We start from the raw sequence: 25,244 nt of genomic DNA, 5'->3' as shown, positions 1-25,244 counted from the left end.
TCCTTTCCCCACCATCCCTGCACCCTTGGCCAAATACAATACTTGAGACTGAGGTGGACCAAGCCGGCGTATGGTAGTTTGCCTGTCTTGGAGATCTTCTTCCCCACTCATAGGCTTCTGGCAGGACTGTCATTCACTGTCCCCTGTCCCACCAACACCCCAAGCACCACCACAAGGGTGAGCACAAGACCCTGGCTAGGCCAATCTCATTACTGCACCTCTAGACACAGTGATTGGTTCAGGAATGGTCATTTGATTTGATCTGGGCCAATCAGAATCTTCCCTGAGACTTTTCTATACAATGAACTTTTTTTTTTGCCAGCACTGCCAAGCGTGCAAAATGAGAATCTTCTTGTCCATCACATGGAGAAACCTTGTCTGAAAAATGAACCAAGAAGAAACAATCAGAACCAAGAGATGTAAAGTATCTATCTACCTACCTACCTACATATTTTTTTTTTTAAAAACTGATTTGAGTTGGGTGTTCTTCTCTAGTGACCAAAAGTTCAGAGATATCAGTCCTGCAGTTCTTCCAATAAATAGAAAATCATTCTCCACAAGTAAAAAACAAAGTCAAACCCAAAACCCAACAAGTGAGTCACTGACAACAATGACAGTCACTGGTGTCAACACTCCATTCCAAAATATCAGGCCCGTCTTTGGCATTTGGCCAGTGGCTTAAGTCTAGAGTTGGGTGGGGCATTCCCAGCCTTCCCCAGCAGGCAGGGCGGTGTTCAGGCTTTGAGACTGGGGGTTCCATCTGGACCATGGCTCCAGAAGCCCTGGTGTTGCCATGGTGAGGAAGGAAGGTTGGGGAGATGGTGAGTGACAGGCTGACGAGCCTCCCACATCCTTCCAGCCTCCTGCTGAGAGTTCTTGGCTGATGTTTAGACAGTTGCCTCCCTCCCCAGTCTTTGTACTTTTAGGGAGTGCCAAATCCAGCACTTCCGTGTCCAATAGGTCAATCACATCTGAAATGGTTTAAGTTGAAATAATGACTTTTTTCTATAAAATGGGAAGAATTACTGTCTCACCTTGGACAGCTTTATTTTCAGTCTATCATTTCGATTAGACCTTGAAACTTCCCTAACTTGCTTCAGTTTTTTTTTCCAGCTAGATTTGCTTATTGCTTCCTGCTAAATTTAGGAAACAAACAGCAAAGAAGAAGGTTTAAAATAAGAAAGGAAAATATTTTCCATGTCATTTTCATCAAAAACAGTTCAGTCCAAATCTCCAAGCCTTGTAAACTTTCTTTTAAAACATACACATACCCCTAAATTTTAGATTTAAACAGCTCTGACTCATTTTAAATAATTGTTGCCCAATTTTCTTTTACTGCCAGTAAAACAGGTACCTGCTGGGTTTACCTTTCACTAAATTTCAATGAAACTGCAAGTAAAAAGGCTCTGGCCCTATTTTATGGATGGCCCCTGACTTTTTTCCTGAGTCTGCTATAAACCAAAAACACCTGGTGAATAAAATGTGATTTCCAACCACTCCCCACTCCCCTGGGAGTAAAATCTTACCTGATTCTCTGTCCCAAGTTGAAAGACTGCCATTCATTATGAGAGCTGGGAAGCTAAGCACATAATTCGACATCTCTGAGCTCAAGGTCTCAGGTTCCAACTCTTCCAAATGAAAAGGAGGGTTCCACAGGGCCTCCCTGAGCCTGCCTCAGGAAGTAGCCAACCCCACTGGGCTGCCAGTGGTCTCATCCAACCAGACAAGGTGCTGCAGGTTGCACAGGGCCAGGAACCTCAGGTTGGGTACAGGGGAGGCCTGAGTGGAGTATCAAGGGTCCCTCAGGAGTCTGCTCCAGACATGTCCCCATCTTCTGCTGCACATTGCCTCAAAAGTGGCAATTATAGAAGTGACTGGCCAGGGCTTTGAACTCTCATGGCTCTGGTATAGAATGGCAGTTCTTACTGCTCTCTGGCCTTGGAAAGTCACTTCCCTTTCTGAACATGTTTCTTCTTCATCTGGAAAATGGAAATTATCAAGAATGCAATGCATATAATGTGCTTTGCACAGTGCCTGGCACATAAATTGTGATTATTATTATTAACTAACGAATTGTTATTAACTATTATTATATACGTTGTCTGCCTTTTTGTCAGTAGTTCTCAACCTTGGCCACACATTAGAATCACGTGGGAAGATGGCAAAAAGCCTGATGTCCAGGCCATACCCAAGACCAACTAAACCAGAATCTCTGGAGGTGGGACAAAAGCATCAGATGTTTTTAAAGCTCTCCAGGCAGTTCCAATGTGCTACCAAGTTGAGAGCCGCTGCTTTGTACAAACTCATGATGGTGAGGGGCTAATCACAGGATCTTGGAACTACGAGGGACCTTAAAGGCTATCTCCTCTGACCCCGTTCCCAGGAAGGCTAACCGCGAGTCTGGTTTTTGGCCTATATTTGTATTGACCAGGAACTTCACCATCAGCAGAGCCAACTGAAACTCAGCTAGAGCCACCATGGTTACTATGGAAATCCACTACCTTGCAACACTTCTGTCCCACAGGCCTGGGAGGCCCTAGTTTAATTACATATCCAGAACACGAGATAGGAGCTGCCTGGGGAAACCCACCTAAGGCCTCCAGTTAGATTTCCCAACACATCCTAATATGACTCCTCCAGGGGTACTGATGACTGCACAGCTTTCCAACACTACTGGTTTCACTGAGAAAGAGTTCCTGTGGCCTTATGAGTGCTTGTGGTTCCAGTGATCTCACCAAGAAAGTGGAGGGAGGCCCACTGCTTATTCCCCTAGGGATCTGAGCCACCCAGGGTCCTCTACCTAAGGCTAGGCCAAGGCATCAGGCCCGCCATTCCAGGCAGTCTCTGCTCAGACCCGAGGGTCCTCTCCAGGTCCACCAGGCTCCCCAGGTCTCCATTTCCCGCCCTTTGCCCAGCCCAGAGGCCATCTGCGGATGGAGGGAGTGTGAGGCTGGTCCATGCCAGAGATATGTGATGCTCGGCTTGCATCTGCTTATCAGTTTCGCCAGTGCAAATCAAGCATCTCTGAGTCTGTGAAGGGTACAAAAGCCCTACCTGATCCTTCCAGCCACAGCTGCTGTAGCCCAGAGTATGGGGGGAAGACTGGGCATCTTCAACAGGAATGAGCTGATGCTGACGGCTCATTGAGGGTCTACTGTGCACTGGGTGCTATGCCAAGGGCTTATTTCTATCTCCAAATGCTCCTCTTATTCTTATTTTACAGAGGTGGAAACTGAGGCCTAGAGGTACAATAGTATGCCCAAGGTCACATAGCTGCTGAGTGGCTTAGCCGGGACCAAAATTGAGGCTGTCTGGCCACAGAGCCTAAGCACAAAGCTTTCTCTGTGTGCCTTCAGACCAGCTTGTGGCTCAGATGTCCTTGGCATCCCCTCTTGCCAATTCTGAGTCCTCAGCTCCAAAGCAGGCTGGCCTCTGGTGCCCGGCACACAGCTGAGTCCTGACAAGCTCAGGCTGGAGGTCGCTTCCTTCCTTGGCTCAAGGATCAGGGCATCAGCTCGTGGCTCAGATAGGGACTTGCCCAGTGCTGTCACTCCTTGGCCTGGACATGCGCTTCTTGACTATGGCTCAAAAGAACATGGAAGAACAGAAAAATACAAGAGTTTGTGTACTCAGACCAAATCAGCACACCACCAGATTTCCTGGGTCCTCTCAGCCAGCGACACCCTCAAGGTCCTGATGACCCTCAGCAGCAGTCACACCTAACGGGAGACAAAGTCATTCTTGCTCAGGGTACCAGTCCCTCAAACAACCTGGTCCTGCTCTATGGCTGAGGAAAAGGACATGAGCAGGATGAACTGCTGAGACAGGACAACCTCAAGGCAACTGAGGCCCCAAGAAACACCCTCTGGGCTAACATGGGGTCCAGGTCGGTGCCACTTCTGCTGTAGTCACAAGCGCAAAGCGTCAAGGTCTGCATGCCATCATTGTACTTCAGGTATTTCACAGTCAGTATCTATCGAACACGGACTGATCACAGTTAATTTAAAAAAAATTTTTTTTAGAGATAGGGTCTTGCTCTGTTGCCCAGCCTAGAGTGCAGTGGCATGATTCTAGCTCACTGCAGCCTCAAACTCCTAGGCTCAAGTGATCCTCCCACCTCAGTCTCCTGAGTAGCTGGGACTATATATATTAGACAGATAGATAGATATAGATAGATAGATAGATAGATAGATAGATAGATAGATAGATAGACAGATTTTTTTTTTTTTTTTTAGAAACAGGATCTTGCTATGTTACGCTAGGCGGGTCTCAAATTCCTGGCCTCAAGCCATCCTCCTGCCTTGGCCTCCCAAAGTGCCGGGATTATAGGTGTGAGCCACCACCCCTGCCCCAACATATTAAGGGGGAAAAAAAAGCAATAATGGGCCGTATAACATATAGAACACTTATAGTGTGACTATTGCAAAGATGGTGACAGCCTTCTGCCCCACCAACTGAGGTCGGGACCAGCAGGCCAGGATCCAATTCAACACATTAGAACTCAGCAAGCCTTTGATTGCCAGCTGGGCATGTCGGTTTATAACACTTTTCAGAAGAGAGAGCCAAAAACAGAGTAGTGGCCGATATGGCACATTATTGGCACTGTGGGTCAAATTTAGAAACACATTACCTGTGGTTTGTGACTAGTAATTAATCGGTTAGGTTATACTCTCACAATAATGTCCACCAATAGGACAGAGCATGACAAAGGCAGATTTTTTTGAATCAGATTAAATGTAAGGAAAAGGGAGAGGGGAAGGAGAACTTGGGAAAAATCAGCCTGCCTCTTGTGTGACTTTCTTTGAGGCTCTGCTGTGGTTCGAATATGTCCCCTCCAAAATTCCTGTTGAAACTTAATCCCCATTGTGGTGGTATTAAGAAGTAAGGTCTTTTGGGAAGTGATTAAGTCAGAAAGGCTCTGCCCTCATGAATGGATTAATGCCTTTATAAAAGAGGCTTCAGAGAGAGTTCACACCTTTACGCCCTTTCACCTTCTGCCATACGAGGACACAGCATTTGTCCCCTCTGGAATACACAGCAACAAGGTACCATCTTGGAAACAGAGAGAGCAGCCCTCATCAGACACCAAACCTGCTGGTGCCTTGATCTTGGGTTTCCAGGCTCTGAAACTGTAAGAAATCAATTTCTGTTGTTTATAAGCCACCCTGGCTGTGATATTCTGTTACAGCAGCACAAAGACAGGACCACTGCTGGAGCAGGTGTGACCTGTCCCCTCAATAAGACCATGCCCCTGGACTGCCTCTACCCCTGTAGCCCGCATTTTATCAAGGCACAAAGTAGCCATAAATTTTGGAAAGAGGGATAATACTATTTTTTTAAAATTTTATTTATTTATTGAGCTGGGGTCTCATTCTGTCACCCCGGCTGGAGTGCAGTGGTGCCATCACAGCTCACCGCAGCCTCAACCTCCTGGGCTCAAGTGATCCTCCTGCCTCAGCCTCCCAAAGTCTTGAGGTTACAGGTGTGAGCCACCGCACCCAGCCCTAATTTTTTTTAGACAGAAAAAACCCTTTTGATTACTTCTGGGATGCCATAAAGGCAGTTTCATTCCATCAGAAAACAGAGACACAAATGTTCCGATCATAGCATATTTTAGATGCATGTACAGGGATCAATGGAAATGTGGCATTTATTGCAGTTTTGCACAGTACACTGAACCATACATTGTTAGTAAAAACAACACAGTTTCATGTATTGTAATGTGATAGAAATAAACCACTGATTAGGTATATTTGTCCATGTTTCCCTTTATGGCCACCCACCCTGTAGTTAAACAGACCTTAAAGGGAAGACACAGCTCATGCTTGGAAAAGATTCAGTGATGTAAAGACATACATTCTCCTTGACTTAATCTATGAATTTAATGCAACTCTGATCAAATAACAGCTGTGTTGGGGGAAGGGAGATTCAGCTGGAAGAGTTTAAACATGAGAGAACAATCAGAGAAAATCTGAAAAAAAAACTACCTACCAGGTTTTAAGATATACCATAAGACTACAGATGCTATTCATATAATAGTATCCTATATCTATAGGATATAGATCTATATCCTATATAGTAGTATATAGTAGAATACTACTATACTAGTAGTACCTGTAGTCTTATAGTATGTCTTACTATAAACAGATCAATAGAGGAGAGATCAGAAATAGACCCAAATACATGTGGAGGATTGGCATAAGATACACTTGTACTTCAAATGGCAGTGGGGAGGGAGAGCTATGCCATTCAGTGAATGATGTTAGGAAAAGTGACTAGGCAATGTGGAAATCAATAAAGCTGGACTAATTTCTTCAACCAAAATAAATTTCAGGTAGCTCAAATATTTAAACTGAAAAAGAAACTTAAAAGTATAAAGAAAAAAATTGGTCACTTTTCATTTATTTTCAATCTTGGCCATAAAGCCCATATGTCATAAAAGAAAACACTATACAAAGACTTAACATTTTTATATGTCAAAAATGTCATAAAGTCAAAATACAAACATCACGTTGGGAAAAAATATTAAATAAAAATATGACAAAGAACTAACTTCTGTAATACACAAAGAGCTCTTATTAATCAATAAGAAATGAACCAATATTTAAAAAGGAATATAAGCTTAAAGGATATGAAGAAGTTCATAGAAAAATGAAATGTGTGGCTGGCTAGTGGCTCATGCCCATAATCCCAGCACTTTGGGAGGCCAAGGCAGGAGGATCACTTGAGGCCAGGAGTTCAAGACCAGTCTGGGCAACACAGCAAGACCTCATCTCTACAAACACACAAAAAAATAATAAAAATAATCCAGGTATGATGGTGCGTGCTGTAGTCCCAGCTACTCAGGAGATTGAAGCAGGAGGATCACTGGAGCCCAGGAATTCAAGGCTGCAATAAGTTATGATCGTACCACTGCACTCCAGCTTGGGTGACAGAGTGAGACCCTGTCTCAAATAAAAAAAAAAAAAAAGAAGGAAAAGAAAGGAAGAAAGAAAGAAAGATGAAACGTAGGTGGCACATCTCAAGAGGTCATGAAAGCTTTGTGCCCCTTTCCCCATATCTTGCCTTATGCATTTCTTCCATCTGGCTTTTCCTGAGTTATATCCTTTTATAATAAATATAAGTACATGTTAAAAAAGGAAAAATAAAATAAAAATAAAATGCAAATGGCCATTAATAAATGAAAAGATGTTCAACCTCATTAATGACTAAATAAAAATGCAAATTAAAGCAAGATCTATCTGGTTGATTCTGCCAGTAATAAAAAATTACAGAAAACAAAAGTCAAAAACTAAAATGAGACATAATGTCTTGCTAATTCATCTGGCAAAGTTCAAGAATAATTATTAATTCTCAGTATTTTGACAGTTTGAAGAAATAGAAGCTTTTATACATTGGTGAATGATACATTGGTATAACCATGACAGAAGGCTATTTGTCAACATCAGCATTTAAAAATATTACTCTTTGACTTAGCAGAAGTTTCATTTCTAGGTAAAAATACACTTGATTTCCTGAGACAATTACAGTGTACATTCCTGTGCTCTCTGGAGCCCTTCTGAATGAGCACTTGTCCTGGTTTAGGCAATAGATTATATGGTCACCTTATATTTCTAGGCATTAGCCCTACAATTAAACTCATGTAAATATGTGAAATGTACAAATATATTAATTACTGCATTATTTTTAATAAAAATGGTGGAAATAAATCTCTATCAGTAGACAACTGATTAATTAAAGTATACTTTATCCTTATACTAGAATTCTAAAGGAATGTTAGAAGAAATAAATATATACAGTGTGATTCATTTTATATAAATAGTTTATAAACATATGCATGTGTAAATGCATAGGTATACCTGAAAGAATACACAGGAAACCGCTCTACAGGGGTCACCTCTGGAAAATGGCATGGGGGTGAGATAGAAAACTGAAGACTTTTACCTTTTCCTTCATACATGTCAGGTTTTTTTATATAAATAAGGATTTATTTTTTATAATAAAAATTTTTAAGAAACAGGTGAACCTTAATTCTCTACCTAAGATAAAAGGATTGAGCTCATTACTGTCATCATTATCATCATCATCCTCAGAGTGAAACTCAGGGATAAATACATTGATGAAAAGTAAGTCCTTCCTCAGCTGTAACATCTGAGGGCCGAGGTACCGTCCGGAGTAGCTTAGTCCTGATGGACAGGAAGGAGAGGAAAGTGGAGGAGGGAGAGGAGCAAGATGTGGAGGCTGAATTGCAGAGTCGGGGTGGGAGGTGCTTTTGCAGGTGAATTCATCATTCGTGTGATGGTTGGCAACCCAACTTGACTTTGCCTGATTTCTCCCCAAAGCACAAGCCTAACAGTTGAAAACAGGGTGGGACTGGGGGTGGGGGCCGAGAAGCCAAGCCTTTCCTCACCTGTACTGCAGACATCAACCACAGAACACTCCCAGGAGGCTGGTACTTAGGTACTTAGGCACATGGGCAATTGGTGCCATTTCCTTTTCCGTCTTGACCATTAAAAAACATATTTTCTAAAGTTCCTGATGTGAGTGCTTAACTTAGTAACTTAGTTGAGGTGGGCAGGCAGGGCAAGGAGAGCTGAAAAGGGATGTCAGTCAAGTTCCTCCAGCTAGACCACAGCCACTCCATAGCGGCAGTCAAGTTAACCTCTGAGTGAAGCAGTTTCCGTAGCTGCGGAAAGGAGGTAATGGTACTGCCTTGGGGTGTCAAGCACATCGGGTCATGGGAGGCCATCACTAAATGACTGTATAAAAGGAGGGGGTTCAGCAAGATGATCTCTGAGTCTTCTTCCACCTCAAATATCAAATGAGCCGGAACAATATCCACTCATCCTATCATTGTTCAATACATATTTATTGCAGATCATGGAGCAAATGCTGAAACAGTGAGGACTAGGTCTCTGGACAAGGCTGCTGAAGAGCTGAGAGCTTCTTTGTGATCTGTCGCTTTGCTTGGCACACAGTAGCTGCTCGAGGTACGTTTGTCACGTGAAAAAGTGTGTTCATTGCGCCCCAGAGACCTACGCTCCACAGGAGCTGAAGGAGTACCAGCAGCTTTGATTAGGTGTCAACTAAAATGGGACTTGCTCCCTTGGGGATCTCGAGCTTTGGACAGGAGATAAAAATACAAAGGATTCTAGAACAGAGGAGCCCCAGGAGATGAGCTACCCTGTGAGTTCCCCTGGTAGTTCCCGCCAAGTGCATGAGCTAGGCAGATGCGCATGCTAGCTTTGGATCCGGGAGGGACAGAGATGTGTGTTTTATTGAGGTTGAGGGTCCTCTGTGAGGAATGACATTATTGCAGGTTAATGGTGGATAGTGCTTTTCTTCCTTACCTAATATCTTTGAATACTGCATTAAATTGTTTTTAAGCCACCGGAATGGTTATTAAATTAGTACCCTTTTGGAAAACAGTCTGGCAGTACGTTTCTAGTGTTTTATCCTTTGGCACATGGCCTCTTCTATTTCATTCTGTCCATTACCTTCCCCTAGACATGGCAGGGTGCCCCAAAACTCCCATCTACCCAGAAGATTTCAGTTTAACCTTTGGAAAGTATAAGTGACAAGGGTAAATATGCCCTCTCACCCAGGATTCCTATTTTAATCATGATTCAACTTATAGACAAATATTAGGCAGAAAGATGTTCATGATGGTTTTGTAAGAATGAAAATTTGAAAATAATCTAAATGTTAACAGCAGGAAGAAGAGTAAATAAATTATGTTCTCTCAACTGAATAGAATATTTAGCAACGATTTACAATATTTGATATAGGCTGTGGGGAACTAGGTACTCTTTAATACATTATTAGTGGGAGTATAAACTGGTATAAATCTTTTAGAGATAAATTTAACAGTATGATCAAAAGTAAAAAAAAGTGTACATGTGATTCAATTTTAGGGGTCTTTCCCAAGGAAATGATTAAAATTTGGTTTCACTTATAACAGCAAAAGATTGTGGGAAAAAAACCCTAGTTCCAACTGTAGGAAATTGGCTCAGTAAGTTATTATATAACAACAAACAGCCAAATTAATTTTGAAAAGGAAAAACAAAGCTGGAGGCATCACACTTTCTGATTTCAAAATATATTACAAAGCTACAGTCATCAAACAACAGTATGGAATTGGCATAGACACAAAGAGACCACTGGAACAGAATAGATACCCCAATAAACCCATCCATATATGGTCAACTGATGTTCGACAAGGGTGCCAAGAATACGCAATGATGAAAGGATAGTCTCTTCTACAAATAGTGCTGGGAAAACATGATATCCACATGCAAAAGAATGGAACTGGGCCCCTATCTTATGCTATACGCCAAAATCAACTCAAAATGATTAAAGACAAATATAAGACTGGAAATTGCAAAACTCCTAGAAGAAAACATAGGGGAAAATCCTCATGCCATTGGTCTTGCAATGATTTCGTGGACATGACATCAAAAACACAAGCAACAAAAACAAAAATAAACAAAGCCGGATTAAATCTAACTAAAAAAGCTTCTGCACAGCAACGGACACAATCAACAGAGTGAAAAGACTGAGAGAAAATATTTGCAAGTCATATTTCTTATAAGAGGTTAATTTCCAAAAATTCTAAGGAACTCCTACAACTCAACAGTTAAAAAAAACAAAAACAAAAAACTAGTAACCTGATTTAAAAATTGGGCTCAGAACTTGAATAGACATTTCTCCAAAGAATATATACAAACAGCCAACAGGTATATGAAAAAATGCTCAATATCACTAATCATCAGGAAATGCATATCAAAACCACAATAAAATACTTGTCAGGGCTAGGCGCAGTGGCTCACACCTATAATCCCAGCACTTTGGTAGGCCAAGGCAGGTGGATCACCTGAGGTCAGGAGTTCGAGACCAGCCTGGCCAACACAATGAAACCCTGTCTCTACACAAAATACAAAATTAGCCAGGTATGGTGGCACATGTCTGTAATCGCAGCTACTTGGGAGGCTGAGGCAGGAGAATCACTTGAACTGGGGAGGCAGAGATTTCAGTGAGCCGAGATCACACTACCCCAGCCTGGGCAATAGAGTGAGACTCTCTCTCAAAAAAAAAAAAAAAAAGATACTTGTCGGATGGTTATTATAAAAAAAAAAAAAAGACAAGTGTTGGTGAGGATGTGGAGAAATTGGAACTCCTGCACGCTTTCAGTGGGAATGTGAAATGGCGCAGCTGCTACAGAAAACAGTATGGAAGCTCTTAAAAAAATTAACAATAGAACTTCCATAACATCCAGCAAGCCCACTCTGGGTATTTATCCAAAAGAATTGAAATCAAGACTTTGAAGGGATATTAGCACTCCTTTGTTCAATGCAGCATTATTCACAATAGCCAAGATGTGGGAACAACCCAAATGTCCATGACAGATGAACGGATAAAGAAAATGTGGTAGATGCATACAATGAAACTATTCAGCCTTGAGAAAGAAGGAAATCCTGCCATTTGCAACAACACAGATGAACCTTGGGGACATTATGCCAAGTGAAATAAGCCAGTCCCAGAAAGACAAATACTGCATGATTCCACTTATTTAAAGTATCTAAAATATGATGATGTCAAATTCATAGACATCAAAATGTCAGATTCATGGTTGCCAGGGGCTATTGGGGGAGGTGTAAAGGAAATGGGGAATTACTAATCAACAGGTGTGAAGTTTCAGCCAAGCAAAAAGAATGAGCTCTAGAGTCTGCTGTACAACATCGTACCTATAGTCAATCATAATGGATTTTACACTTCAAAATTTGCTAAGAAGGTAGGTCTCATGTTATGTGTTCTTACTGCAATAATATAAAAGAAAAAACCACATATGGAATTAAAAGCCCTACATTTTCTCACTCATTGACATGTGATCTATTAGAAGTTATTTAAATTTTCTGAATCTCCATCTCTTCACTTATAAAATTAAACCATAATAGAACCTGGACTGAACTCTCCAACTCTGTCAAGAGGGCAGAAATTTACTGTTGGCCTTTACCAGTCTGTTTCATATTTCAAAAGAATATTGGATATTGCAAATCAGAACTGAAGGGGTAAACTTATTTAACCTGCGATTGGTTGGTGTTTTCCTGTCATTTTAAGAGGCTAAATTTGTAGTGGGCAACTGTGAAAATACTTGTACAATTTTAAAGTGTCATCATTAAACGTGAGCTGATCCCTCACCCCCACCCCCAAAAAGAGCCCGGAAAAAAAGTGATGGAAGACTCCTTAAATAGAACACATTGCAATTATAAAAATGACGCAGAAATCAACATTTTTTAACATGGAAAGATGTTCACTAGACACAGTTAAATGGGAAAAAATGAGCTACAAATTAATATGTGCATTTTGATCCCATTTTTGTTTATCTAGATGTTCTCATTTATCTTGCTGAATAATTATACCTCTGAAATCAAGAAAAAATAACAATAATAATATTAGCTATGAAAGCTCTGTAGCAGTACAGAAAAATGCTTGCACAATAAAGGGAGGAAAGGGCAGGATAAAATTGTATACACTTTGTGATTGCAGTTGTGTAAAAATTACGGACCTTGACAGGAAGGGTATACTGAAAACTAAAAACTGTGATTTGTTAGGATGGGAAGATTATGGGTGATTTTCCATCCTTTCGGTTGTTACTATGTTTATGTAATTGTTATTTTTTAAGTGGGAAAAAATCTTTTCAGACTTTTTCCTCTGTAGCCTCTCCCCTTCTTGGAATGGCTGTCTTTATGGTAAGTAAGGCTGCTTACTAAATATAACGCATTACATGGGCCTAGTGTACAGCTTACTGCTACTTTAATGGAGAAAGGATGGTCTCTGCAACACATGATTGGAGCTGACTTTCCCTGGGTGAAGTCTCTGCCATCTCTACCCTATTTCTTATCAGCCCTGATCCCTGACCCCAAGCAGCAGATGCTATTGGGCTAACCAGCCCCTCCCTTTGGGTTCTTTAGCACCTTCAGGCCCCATCCATTTTAGCTATCTTGGATCCCACCTGGAGGCTCAGGACCTTGCTGAGGCAGAATGACGAGCAAATGTAAACCAGTAACAATGGGTCAGGGCGCCCTCACATACAGCTGTGGAAGGTACATTTCTTTGTAGAAAACAACTTGGCAAATGCATCAAAAGCCTTTAAAATGTTCACAACCTCTGGTCTAGCAATTTTGATTCTAGGGTGTTATAAAATAATAAGTAATGAAGATGTAGGTACAAAGATACATGCTTAATATTTCTTAGTAAGATATTGGAAATAATCTAAATGTCCAATAATGGGAGAGTGGTTAAATTATGCATTATCACAAGGTTGCCATGTAAAATACAGGATACCCAGTTAAATTAAAATTTCAGATAAGCAACAAATAATTTTTTTGGTATAAGTATGTCTCAAATATTGCTGTAAGACACAGTTATTCTAAAAATGTATTCTTTTTTATAGTATTTGTTTATCTAAAATTCAAATTGGGATATAGTTATACTAAAAATTTATTCATTTTTATCTGAAACCCTAATTTATCTGGATGTCTTGTATTTTTACTTGCTAAATCTGGTCACCCTATATGTCCATATGATGGAATACAATATAGCCATTAAAATTCATATTTTTAGTGCAGTAGCTTTCAAATTGTGTTTCTTCTCTTCCTGTGCTTTAACTAGAGCATCTCACCTTTTATCTCTTTTATATTTTAGACTTCTGTGCAAGATTCGGTTTAAAAATAAGGGTTCCATTACTAAACAAAGTTTGAAAAACACTGTTTTAGAAAACTAACAACAGGAGACAGTGCTCATAAAATAGATATTACATAAATAAAAAAATCATGTTAAAATCAGTATGATTCTAGGTTTGTGTGTACATGCCCATACACACACAGAGAAAGAGAGAATGAGAGAGACAGACAGACATCAAACACACTGGAGAAATCTTTTTTTAAAAAAACAGTTATTATTTCTGGGTGCTGGGATTATAGGTGATTTTTGGAAGATTTCCAGAAGATTTTTTTCAAGTTTTCTTCAATGAATAAATGCATTTACATTTTGAAAAAGAATCACTATTAAAAATATCTACCTTCTCAGATGACACTAATACTTTAACATCATTAATTCTCTGTATCTGTGATTATTAAATCAGGGAGTTATGAACTCTCTGGGGATCTAATGAAATCTGTATCCTATTCTCAGAAGGCAGAGTCACACAAAACTTTGCATGCAGCACCCCCACCTCAACTTCTTGTTAAGAATCCCTCTTGAGATTCTGTTTTCTGTGTGTGTGTTTGTTTGTTTTAGATGAGGTCTCACTGTCACCCAAGCTGGCGCCATCTCGGCTCACTGCAACCCCGCCTCCTGGGTTCAAGCGATTCTCCTGCCTCAGCCTCCCGAGTAGCTGGTACTACAGGTGCACACCACCATGCCCAGCTAATTTTTTGTACTTTTTGGAGAGAGCAGGTTTCACCATGTTGCCCAGGCTGGTCTCAAACTCCTGAGCTCAAATCATCTGCCTGCCTTGGCCTCCCAAAGTGCTGGGATTACAGTAGTGAGCCACCACGCCCGGCCCTTCCCTAGATTCTTGATTCTAGAATGCAGTTACTTAACTCTGCCTGTTTATAAAGCCACATACTTTGGGCTGGGTGCAGTAGTTCACACCTGTAATCCCAGCACTTTGGGAGGCTGAGGCAGGCGAGTCTCTGAGATCAGCCTGGCCAACATGGTGAAAGCCTGTCTCTACTGAAAATACAAAAATTAGCCAGGTGCGGTGGCATGCACCTGTAATCCCAGCTATTAGGGAGTTTGAGGCAGGAGAATCACTTGAACCCAGGAGGTGGAGGGTGCAGTGAGCAGAGATCACACCACTGCAGTCCAGCCTGGGCAACACAGAGAGACTCCGTCTCAAATAATAATAATTTAAAAAAATAAAGCTACATACTCTGTCCCTGAGGCAATGGTTCTTAACCTTTTCTGGGTGATGTAGGGAAGAGTGATCGCACACCTGCTGAGACCCTGTTAAAAGCTATGGACTCTTTCCTCAGGAAAAAAGCACACATAAACTCTCACGCAGCTGCAGGGGCTTTCAGAGGCTCACAAACTCCTGAGGTCCATTCTTGGAGTCCAGATTCAGAATCCCTGGTGCAATCCCAAGCCTTTGGCACTCCCTGGAGCCTGAAATCCCCAAGTTCCTTTTGGGCCAAACTGGTTAAACATGGATTTTGAAAAAAGGAACAAAGCCAGGGATAGAATTAGCTCAGCACTCCCAGGGGGCTGCCTCACAGCAAGCACTTTAAAGTGTGTGAGAGAGAATATGATGCAGAGGAAGAATTTCTTGTACTCTGAGTACCGCTGAAAAGCATTCAATTTGGGAGGGCTCCACGGACAGGAAGAACCAGAAGGTAAATCCCAAGTTGGTACCTCTGACTTCCTATGTCCCATGCCTTTGGGATGGGGCGGGGAGGGGAGTGTGGGGGTAGGAACAGGAGTTTTGCTTTAATTCTGAGTTGGATGTCCTCTTGCTTTGAAAGATCTCTCAAGAAGCTGTACCAAGAACCAAACTCCAAGACCTCTACCAACTGTCATTGCACAGGGGACTGCTAGGACCTAGGAGGAGGGCCTGCAGGTAGGGCAGGTGATTTGGCAGTAGCTCTCCAGAGGTTAAATGGGCACACCCCAAGTGAAATGGAAGATTCTGCAGATGACTCAAATCAATATTTAAAACCATTCCTGCAGGCTTCAAACATCACCCCAGACCCTAATAGGCAAAAGCAAGCGTGGTTTTCTGAGATCAGAGAATGCTGCCTGGGCTCCCTAGAGGGTAACGGCTCTTAGAGGTGGCCTTAGAGGTGGCAGCAGCAGAAGCATCACTAGCTACAGCCCCAGTGACAGCAAGGGCAGGAGTGGCATCACCCCAGTGCTGATGCTGCTCAGTGTTTCCATTTCTGGGTCTGCATATTTGTGAATATGTGAGTGTGCTTATGTGTATACACAGGCACAAGCTTTGCTGTGGACAGGGATGTGTCTGTGTGTATCAGAGCACATGTGTGTGTGCGGGTGTAGCACACACACACTTTAAATACAAGTTCTTCAAGGGGACACAGAGGGGTTCACCCAGTGGTTAGAGATTCGCTTATTTTGGAATTGACTTTTGTTTTTTCAAGTTTCAGAGCCATTTGTGGGGAAAGGAGGCAGCACCCTAGGAAACATCCCTTCCTAAAATGTGCACACACGTGCTAAAAGCAGCCGCTGATGGGCTGGGGAAGAGAGGCCTGGCTCTCTGGGGCTTCATCCTTTCATCCTGCTTCTGAGGCTGCTCGAACTCTTGTAACATCTCAGAGCTGCTCCATCAGACCCTGTAACACGGACACCTTGGTGTCTTAGAAGGAGATAAGGACAGAATCTGTGGGAAGCCTCCACTGTAGCCTGAAAGTTCCATGGTGAAGATGGGGTTCCCAGCAGCCAGCCCAGGGGAGTGACAGTCACAGGCCTCCCAGAGACCTGGCCCAGGAGTTTCCTCAATACGCTTCTTGGAGGCTTTATGAAGCAGAAGCGTGGCTAGGGCTCTGGGAGGCAGGAAGACCTGATTTGAGTCTCAGCTCCCCACAGTGAGCAAGATGTATAATTCACTCAGCCTCCACCTCTGCACCTGCAAAATGGGGACAATGACAGAACCTCTTCCTTAAGGACATTAGGAAGACTCAAGGTAATGCCTCCACAGCACACTGCTCAGCACTCCCCACCCCACCTTACGGATGAGGCTGCCCCAGCTCTGGAGCACCCCCGGAGGTCAGCCACAGTCTTTGCTGCAACACCATCACAGTGGAGCATCTCCCTTTGCACCATCCTGTGTGCCTTGCGAGTATTCATTCCAAAGTACTGCCAGATAAACTTGCTGCATGCAAACCTCCGTCTCCGAGTCAGCTTCCTAGGAACCTGAGACTTGAGGCGAGATCCCTTAGGGAGCAAATGAAGTGAGAACAGCCTTGACAAACAATTCTGGAGGAACAGTAGGGACAAAAACCTCACTGGAGTGGATTCAAGAAAGAATGAAAGGAGAGAAACAGCACAGCAAGGATAGGCAACTCTTTCCAGGAGTTTTGCTGTTTTACTAGGAGCACAGAGATGCAGAAACAGCATGCCATTTTCCCAGGGCTACTGCACGTGCTGAAATCGGGCCCTAGATATGGACACCTGTCCTGTCTGCCTCAGTCTCAACTGCACACAGATGTTTCTTATGCTTCATCCAAATTGTCCAGTTGTTCTCAGCAGAAGAACTGCTCTGATACAAGCTAGTTCATTCTAGCTGGGAGCAGAAGTGCAAGGCCTCGGCCTTGGGTGATGTCCAGAGTTGAGTGTCGGGATCTCTGAAGACACAGGAGGCAGCTCCCTCTTGGCTGGGCCTACCTCTGCAGGACAAAAGCCTCCAGCCCTTGGGTAAAGGCAGATGCCTGGCCTCCCCCGACTCCAACTCTCCTCAGTCACACCTGCCTGCCTACAGCTCCAGCACCACAGAAGATACCCAGTAAAGCCACTAGCAACCTTCCCACTAGGCCCCCAGATCTGGCTTATTAAATTGTCTTCTGTCACAAGGACCACTTACTTACAACAGCTGTTGCTGTGGCAACCAGGCAGCCAGCCTTCCGCTCCAGCTAACAGCCATGAAGCTCCTGCTGACTACTTGGCTTGGGCAACTGCAGGGGAAGTTGCCCCCAAAGTGTCTGTGAGGATGGAACATGGTGGAGGACGTGGGAAGTGGCGACAGGGAACGGGAGGCTGATTGTGAAGTGCAGAGATTTGGAATTGTTCTATCATTCCCTACCAACAGGTTGGAAGAGCTATGAGATGACTCCCGCCAGAGGGGTTCCCACACCTTCTTGTGATATAGGCCACTTCTCCAGCAACACCTCCTTACCCACTCCACTCCCTATCTACAAGCTGAAGGAGGGAGGGCCCTCCAGGGGCAGAGAGAGGGCCACACACAGCTAGAACAGAATCCTGCCAATGCAGGTGAAGGGCGCTGGGCACTCACCAGCCCTGAGAAAGAGGGGGGCATCAGGAACTGGCATTGGCAGGCCCCAACGTTGCTGTTGAGAGGCTGTAACTCCTCTGCCCTCCTGACTCTTCCTGAGAGAGGGGCTGCTTTCTTTAACCAGTCCTGAATGTCTCTAGTCTGAACTTGTAGCTGAGTGACTAGAGATTTTGAAGTTGCATAGATGAGTGTTCAAACCTTAGTTTTTTCAGTTGCTACCTGTTTAACATGAGGCAAATTACTTAACCTCTCTGAGCCTCAGTTTTTGTAGCTGTAAAATAGGGGTGAGTACAGTACCGACCAACAAACTGTTTCAAGGATTAATTGAGATCGAGCACATAAAGTATGTAAGACACAATGCTGGCACATAACAAGCTCTCAGTAAGTCGGTAGTATTATAGTTATTATTGCTATTGTTATCATCACCGACGATTATGTCACTAGAAGACCTAGAGGCTGAACACATAATTGAGAGACTTAGAAGAACTGAGAATGATAAAAGAAACCTCAGCATGTGATCTACAATATGGTATTATTTTTGTTTTTAAAAAAATGTTAACTGGATATCTCTAAGTGACAGTGTTATGTTTTTCTTTGTAGTTTGTTTTTTTTTTTGGCTTTTCCAAATACATAATACTAATGCAATTAGAAAAAAATACTCTTAAAGATTGAGGATGAGCATTAAAAGTGAGCTAAGTACTAAAAACCATGGACTGGTACACTTTAATGGGTGAATTGTATAGTATGTGAATCATGCCTCATTAAAGCTGTTATTTTTAAAAACCTTAAAACATGAGTCAAGGTGTATAAGAATAGCCCATTCAAAAATTCTTAACATAAAAATGTATAAACTAAAGCAAAAAGAGTAAAAGAAAGAAAGAAAATGAGGCGAGAGCTAAAAAACAGAACTATTATGTAACAGTTAAAAGGTCTGATAACTCACTCTATTGGTGAGGCAATAGGAAATCAAGAACTTGCGAGTGTATACGTCTGCTGGGAGTGTCAATCGATACGACCGCCAAAGAGGGCAAATCAGTAAAAATTACAAATGCTACAAATGGACATACTCTCTCACCCAGCAATTCCTTTTTAGGAAATATATCCTATAGATATTTTGCATGATGAATGACATATGTACAAGGCAATGAACCACAGCATTGCCTGTTAAGAGTAAAAGACTGAAATAATCCAAATGTCCATCAGTAGGTGGCTGATTGAATAACTTATGGTATAGCTACACAACGAAATAATATGTAGCTGTAAAAATGTAAATAAAAGAATGAGGAAGCTGTCTTCTGATATGGAAAGATTTCTAAGCTATACTATTAAGTGAAAAAGAAATCAAGGTACAAAACAGTATATGTAATATGCTACCTTTTGTGTAAAAGGTGAGAAAAGGCATCTATCTATCTATCTATCTATCTATCTATCTATCTATCTAGCTCTATCTGTCTGTCTATCTCTATCATCTATCTGTCTATCTATCTATCTATCTATCTATCTATCTATCTATCTATCATCTATCTGTCCATCTATCTAGTTTTATTTTGTGTTGAGACAGGGTCTGGCTCTGTCATACAGGCTGGAGTGCAGTGGTGTGATCTCGGCTCACTGCAACCTCTGCCTCCCAGGTCCAAGCAATCCTCTCACCTCAGCCTCCTGAGTAGCTGGGACTACAGGTGTGTGCCACCATGCCAGGCTAATTTTTATATTTTTGTAGAGATGGGGTTTTGCCATGTTGCCCAGGCTGGTCTTGAACTCCTGAACTTAAGTGATCTGCCCACCTCGGCTTCCCAAAGTGCTGGGATTACAGGCATGAGCCAACACACCTGAGCAAGACTATATATTTATATTTTCTTGCATATGTGATGTGGTTTGGCTCTGCGTTCCCACCCAAATCTCATGTTGAATTGTAATCCCCAGTGTTGGAGATGGGGCCTGGAGGGAGGTGATTGGACCATGGGGGAGATTTCTTATGAATAGTTTAACACCATCCCCCTTGGTGCTGTTCTCATAATAGTGAGTTCTCATGAGATCTGGTTGTTTAAGTATTTAGCACCTCCTCCTCCTCCTCTCTTCCTCCTACACTGGCCATGTGAAGTGGCTCACACCCCCTTTACCTTCTCCCATGATTGGAAGTTTCCTGAGGCCTCTCCAGAAGCAGAAGCTTTTATGCTTCCTGTACAGCCTGCAGAACCGAGAGTCAGTGAAACCTCTTTTCTTTATATATTACCTAATGTCAGGTATTTCTTTACAGCAATCCAAGAATGGACTGATAACGATATGCATAAAGAAATTCTGGAAGGGTCCATGAACAAAACGGTGGTTGGAGGGAACTGAGAACTGAGCAGATGGGGGATAGGACTTTCCAGAGTGAAAGAAATATCTTCTTATACTCCTTGGTCTTAGAACCTGATTAATATATTACCTATGAGAAATTAAGTACTCCAGAAAAAAAAATATATTGTGAGTGGTTTCGATGAAAGAACAATGGCAAAATGTTAATGTTAATTTTTTAATTTTTTTTGAGATGGAGTCTCGCTCTGTCGCCCAGGCTGGAGTACAGTAGTGCGATCTCAGCTCACTGTAACCTCTGCCCCCTGGGTTCAAGCAATTCTTCTGCCTCAGTCTCTCATGTAGCTGGGACTGCAGGCACGTGCCACCATGCCTGGCTAAGTTTTGTATTTTTAGTAGAGACAGAGTTTCGCTATGTTGGCCAGGCTGGTCTTGAACTCCTGACCTCAAGTGATCTGCCCACCTCGGCCTCCCAAAATGCTAGGATTACAGGTGTGAGCCACTGTGCCCAGCCTAATTTTTTTTTTTTTTTTTTTTGAGACAGAGTCTCACTTTGTCCCTCAGGCTGAAGTGCAGGGGCGCAATCTCAGCTCACTGCAGGCTCAACCACCCTGGCTCAAGCGATCCTCCCGTCTCAGCCTCTCAAGTAGCTGGTACTATAGGCATGCGCCACCACACCCAGCTAATCTTTTGTATTTTTGGTAGAGACAGGGTTTCCCCATGTTGCCCAGGCTGGTCTCGAACTCCTGAGCTCAAGCAATCCACCCGCCTCAGCCTCCCTAAGTGCTAGGATTACAGGCGTGAGCCATGGCACCCGGCCAATGTTAAATGTTGAGGTGGTTGATGGGCCCGTGGGGGTTCATTGTATGTTTAAATTTTTTCGTAATAGATTATTAAAATTTTAAAAGGTATTCATAAAGATCAAAAGGTGGAAACAATCCAAATGTCTATCATCTGGTGAATGAAAAAATATGAGGCATATCCATTCCATGGAATATTATTCATCAATAAAAATGAACAAACTACTAATATAAACTACAACATGGGTGAACCTCAAAAATATCATGTGAGCCAGCGCGGTGTCCTGTGCCTGAAATCCCCGCTCCTTGGGAAGCTGAGGCAGGAGGATCCCTTGAGCCTAGGAGTTCAAATCCAGTCTGGGCAACATGATGAGACTCCCCTCTTTAAAAGTAAATAAATATTTAAAAAATCAGGTAACGTGAAAGAAGCTAGTCACAAAAGACTGCATATTGTAGGTTCCATTGATATAAAATGTCTCCCCTAAAAAGCAAATCCATGGAGACAGAGAGTAAATTAGTGGTTCCCTAGGGCTGGGGGTGGGAAGGGGAAGTGACTGTATGTGGGCATGCGGGATCCTTTTGGGATAACAGAAACGTTCCAAACTTGATTATGGTGTAAGTTGCACAAGTGTAAATTTAGTACAAGTCCTTGAATTGCAGTTAGAACTAGTGAATTTTTTTGGTATGTAAATCGTACCTCAGTAAAGTGGCTTTTTAAAAAGGTAAAAGGGGGCTGGGCGCGGTGGCTCATGCCTGTAACCCAGCACTTTGGGAGGCCAAAGCAGATGGATCATTTGAGGTCAGGAGTTCAAGACCAGCCTGACCAACATGGTGAAACCCCATCTCTACTAAAAATACAAAACTTAGCCAGGCGCAGTGGCACGCACCTGTAATCCCAGCTACTTGGGAGGCTGAGGCAACAGAATGGCTTGAACCCAGGGGGTGGAGGTTGCAGTGAGCCGAGATCGCACCATTGCACTCCAGCCTGGGTGACAGAGCGAGATGGGAGGCCAAGGCGGGTGGATCACAAGGTCAGGAGTTCAAGACCATCCTGGCCAACGTGGTGAAACCCGTCTCTACTAAAAATACAAAAATTAGCTGGGCATGGTGGTGCACACCTCTAGTCCCAACTACTCAGGAGGCTGAGGCAGGAAAATTGCTTGAACCTGGGAGGCAGAGGTTGCAGTGAGCCGAGATTATGCCACTGTACTCCCGCCTGGTGACAGAGCAAGACTCCGTCTCAAAAAAAAAAAAAGTATGGGTTCTGGCATTGGCCTCATTGGGTGAAAATGCCAACTGTCCCAGTGTAGCTGCTCCTTTATCTTCCTATTCCCTTATCAGTAACATGGTCCTGGGAATAACTAATGCTTACTATAAAGCCAGGCATTGGTTCCAGCACTTTACATATATTAATGCGCTTAAGCCTCACAACTCTCCTATGATCATCATCATTTTACAAATAAGAAAACTGGGCACGGAGAGGTTAAGTGACTTGCCTGTGGTCACACAGCTAGCAGGCAGTAGGGCAAGCAGTAGCCAGATTTTAAGGGCCAAATGCTTAACCACCATACTGTACCACCTCACAATGACATCACCTATTTCAGGTTGTTATGAGAATTAAATAAAAACAATGAATACAAAGTACTTGACATACAATAAGTGCTCAATAAATGCTAGTCAGGGAAGAAACTACTGCTTAACTGACTCAAATGGCTTGAATTTGTCCAATTGTATTTTGAAGTGTTTGGGGAGAAAAAAGCCAAGCCTGTTTTAAGAAGTATTCTGTCTGAAACAAAAGTGCTTAACTCTACAGAGCCTCTGTAAAGAAATCCCTTTTCTATCTGGTTTAGACATTAAGGGGTGCAGCAAGAAGCCAATGCAGTTCCTACCGCATCTGGGTTTCTTTGCAGCAGTGAGGCAGCGTGCTGAGGTTTAAGGCCCAGGCTTTGGGGCAGGACAGAACAGGGCTTGGTCCTGGCCCCTCTACCAATATGGCCATCTGATCAGTGACAAGATACTTACCTTCTGTTCACTCTCAGCTTCCTCATCTGTAAAATGGGTTGGAAAAAAAAACCTGCTTGGAGGTTGCAAGGAGGACATAATGTAATATGTGCAGAGTGCTCAGCATAGGTCATGGCACATATTGAGGGATTAATAGGTTCAGTCAATTATCTTCCACCTAATTTTCTTGTCACCACAGATGCATTTCTCATTACAGTTCATTAAGGAAGTGTAGCACTTTGTAGAGGAAGGTTAACAAAAGGTCTTGTGCTCTCAGCACTGTGATTTGACTCTCCACACTAGAAAAAGGCTGCCCAATGGGCCAACCCTGTCATCAGCCTGGAGGGACGACAGGAAATTTAGCCACTGTGTACAGCAAATCAAACTGGTAGGGGGAAGCCACCATCACTAGACTAATGAGAAAAAGATGAGGTGCTTTAAGTAGATCTGTGACTTTGGTATAAGAAAGGTTATTGTGGGTAGGAGGGAATGATTCTCCATCTCCCCAGAGAACAGAGAAAGAGCCACTGGGTCTAGACTGGGGCAGGAGGCTGGCTAAGCTAGCCTTAAAGGACTTTCCACGGGCCATTAAACTGGCCAAGGGTATGGAAGGAGACTCGTCTTGGTGTCATTAGGACGGAGATGCGCTCAGGAGCAGTCAGCTGTGCTCCTTCCCTGGGGCTCTGGGATGGCACTCCCATTCCCTGCCCTGCCTGCATTGGCCTCAGGCTCCTCTCCTAGGAGGAGCAGGGCCCAGCAGGGGCAGCAGCATTAAGCAGCTGACTCACCTTTTCCCCTCTGTCTCAGGACAGAGTTCATAATGGGAAACAAAGATGTGGTCCAGCATGCCAGCTAAGAGCACTAACTCAGGAATGAGGCAACCTGGATGGGAGTCCCGGCTCTGCCACTCACTAGCTGTGTGGCCTTGCACAAAGTACTTCACCTCTCTGTGCCCACTTCCTCTGTGCTCCAGGTCCTACCCCACATGGATATTGGGAGAAGAAAATTCTTAGCATGCCTGGGGACAGAGTTAATGCTCCATAATTAGCAGCTACTGTTAAGCTTGTGTTGAGGTTAAGACAGAGCCATCCACAGGTCCCCTTTCCTGCCAGAGATTCTTGTCTTGAGGAAGGACCCAGGATGCCATCAGGCCTGTGCCCAGGAGGGGTATCTGAACCCCTCCCAAGTTAGCAGTGCCTGTGGGGTCACACCCATTACAGGACTTCGGGTGCCTACTATAGTAATGACCTACCATAGTAATGACCGTGGTTCCTTCTGCTTTTATGGCACGGATCAGTTTGCAAAGCAATTTCACACGGTTTCTCAGTTCGGCTCTTATAAGCCTGTGAGCATTCTCATGGTAGCCATTTTACAGATGAAGAAATGGGGGAAGTCAAGGGAGGCAACGCAGCTAGTGAAGAAGGACTGAAGTCCAGGGGGTGGAACTCCTGTTCCACATGACCTTGAGCCTTCCTGGCAGAGGCGAGGATTGTCTTTCCCCATCCCACTCCCTTTCCTCCTGAGTGCCTGTGCCTGGTGGTCGGTGAGCACAGCATGGAGGCCTGGCAGGCTGGCTCAAGGTCAGGGCTTGGCGCATGTCTGTGGAAGAAGGTGCCTTTCCCATTGTTCTGACCAAGAGCAGGGTGGGTGGGGACCCTGACCTCACTGGGTTGTGTCCTTGTCAAGTCAGCTGTATGAATAGCTGGTCTACTGGAAGCCACCCAGCCTAGAGACTCGGAAAGTCAGAGCCAAGTCTCCCTCTTATCTAATAAGCCGGGGAGGGGGGCTTATTAGATAAGAGCTTTGGGGACAAACTTCAAAAGTTCCCACATAAAATTTTATTTTACTTTATTTTTTGAGACAGGGTTTCATTCTGCTACCCAGGCTGGAGTGCAGCGGCATGATCTTGGCTTACTGCAACCTCTGCCTCCTAGGCTCAAGCAATCCTCCTGCCTCAGCCTCCCGAGTTAGCTGGGACTACAGACACATGCCACTATGCCCAGTTAACTTTTTAAAATTTGTCGTAGAAACAGGGTTTTACTATGTTGCCCAGGCTGGTCTCGAACTCCTGGCCTCAAGCAATTCTCCTGCCTTGGCCTCCCAAAGTGTTGGGATTATAAGCA

The 25,244-nt window shown here is 43.4% G+C and overlaps 1 protein-coding gene and 1 long non-coding RNA gene across 8 annotated transcripts in view; one reads left to right on the top strand and one right to left on the bottom strand.

The window, feature by feature from the left end:
* The window catches only part of GALNT16 (polypeptide N-acetylgalactosaminyltransferase 16), a 126,707-nt gene that overhangs the window by 70,066 nt on the left and 31,397 nt on the right, over positions 1-25,244 (bottom strand). The gene's annotated exons all lie outside the window — the stretch shown is intronic.
* Positions 15,475-18,598, top strand: LOC105370549 (uncharacterized). The gene is made up of 2 exons (XR_943979.3): positions 15,475-15,619; positions 16,158-18,598. It is a non-coding gene; the product is annotated as an uncharacterized LOC105370549 (long non-coding RNA).

The sequence above is a fragment of the Homo sapiens genome, chromosome 14 (assembly GCF_000001405.40).
Source record: "Homo sapiens chromosome 14, GRCh38.p14 Primary Assembly".
NCBI lineage: Eukaryota > Metazoa > Chordata > Mammalia > Primates > Hominidae > Homo > Homo sapiens.
This window is presented reverse-complemented; position numbering and strand designations above follow the sequence as displayed.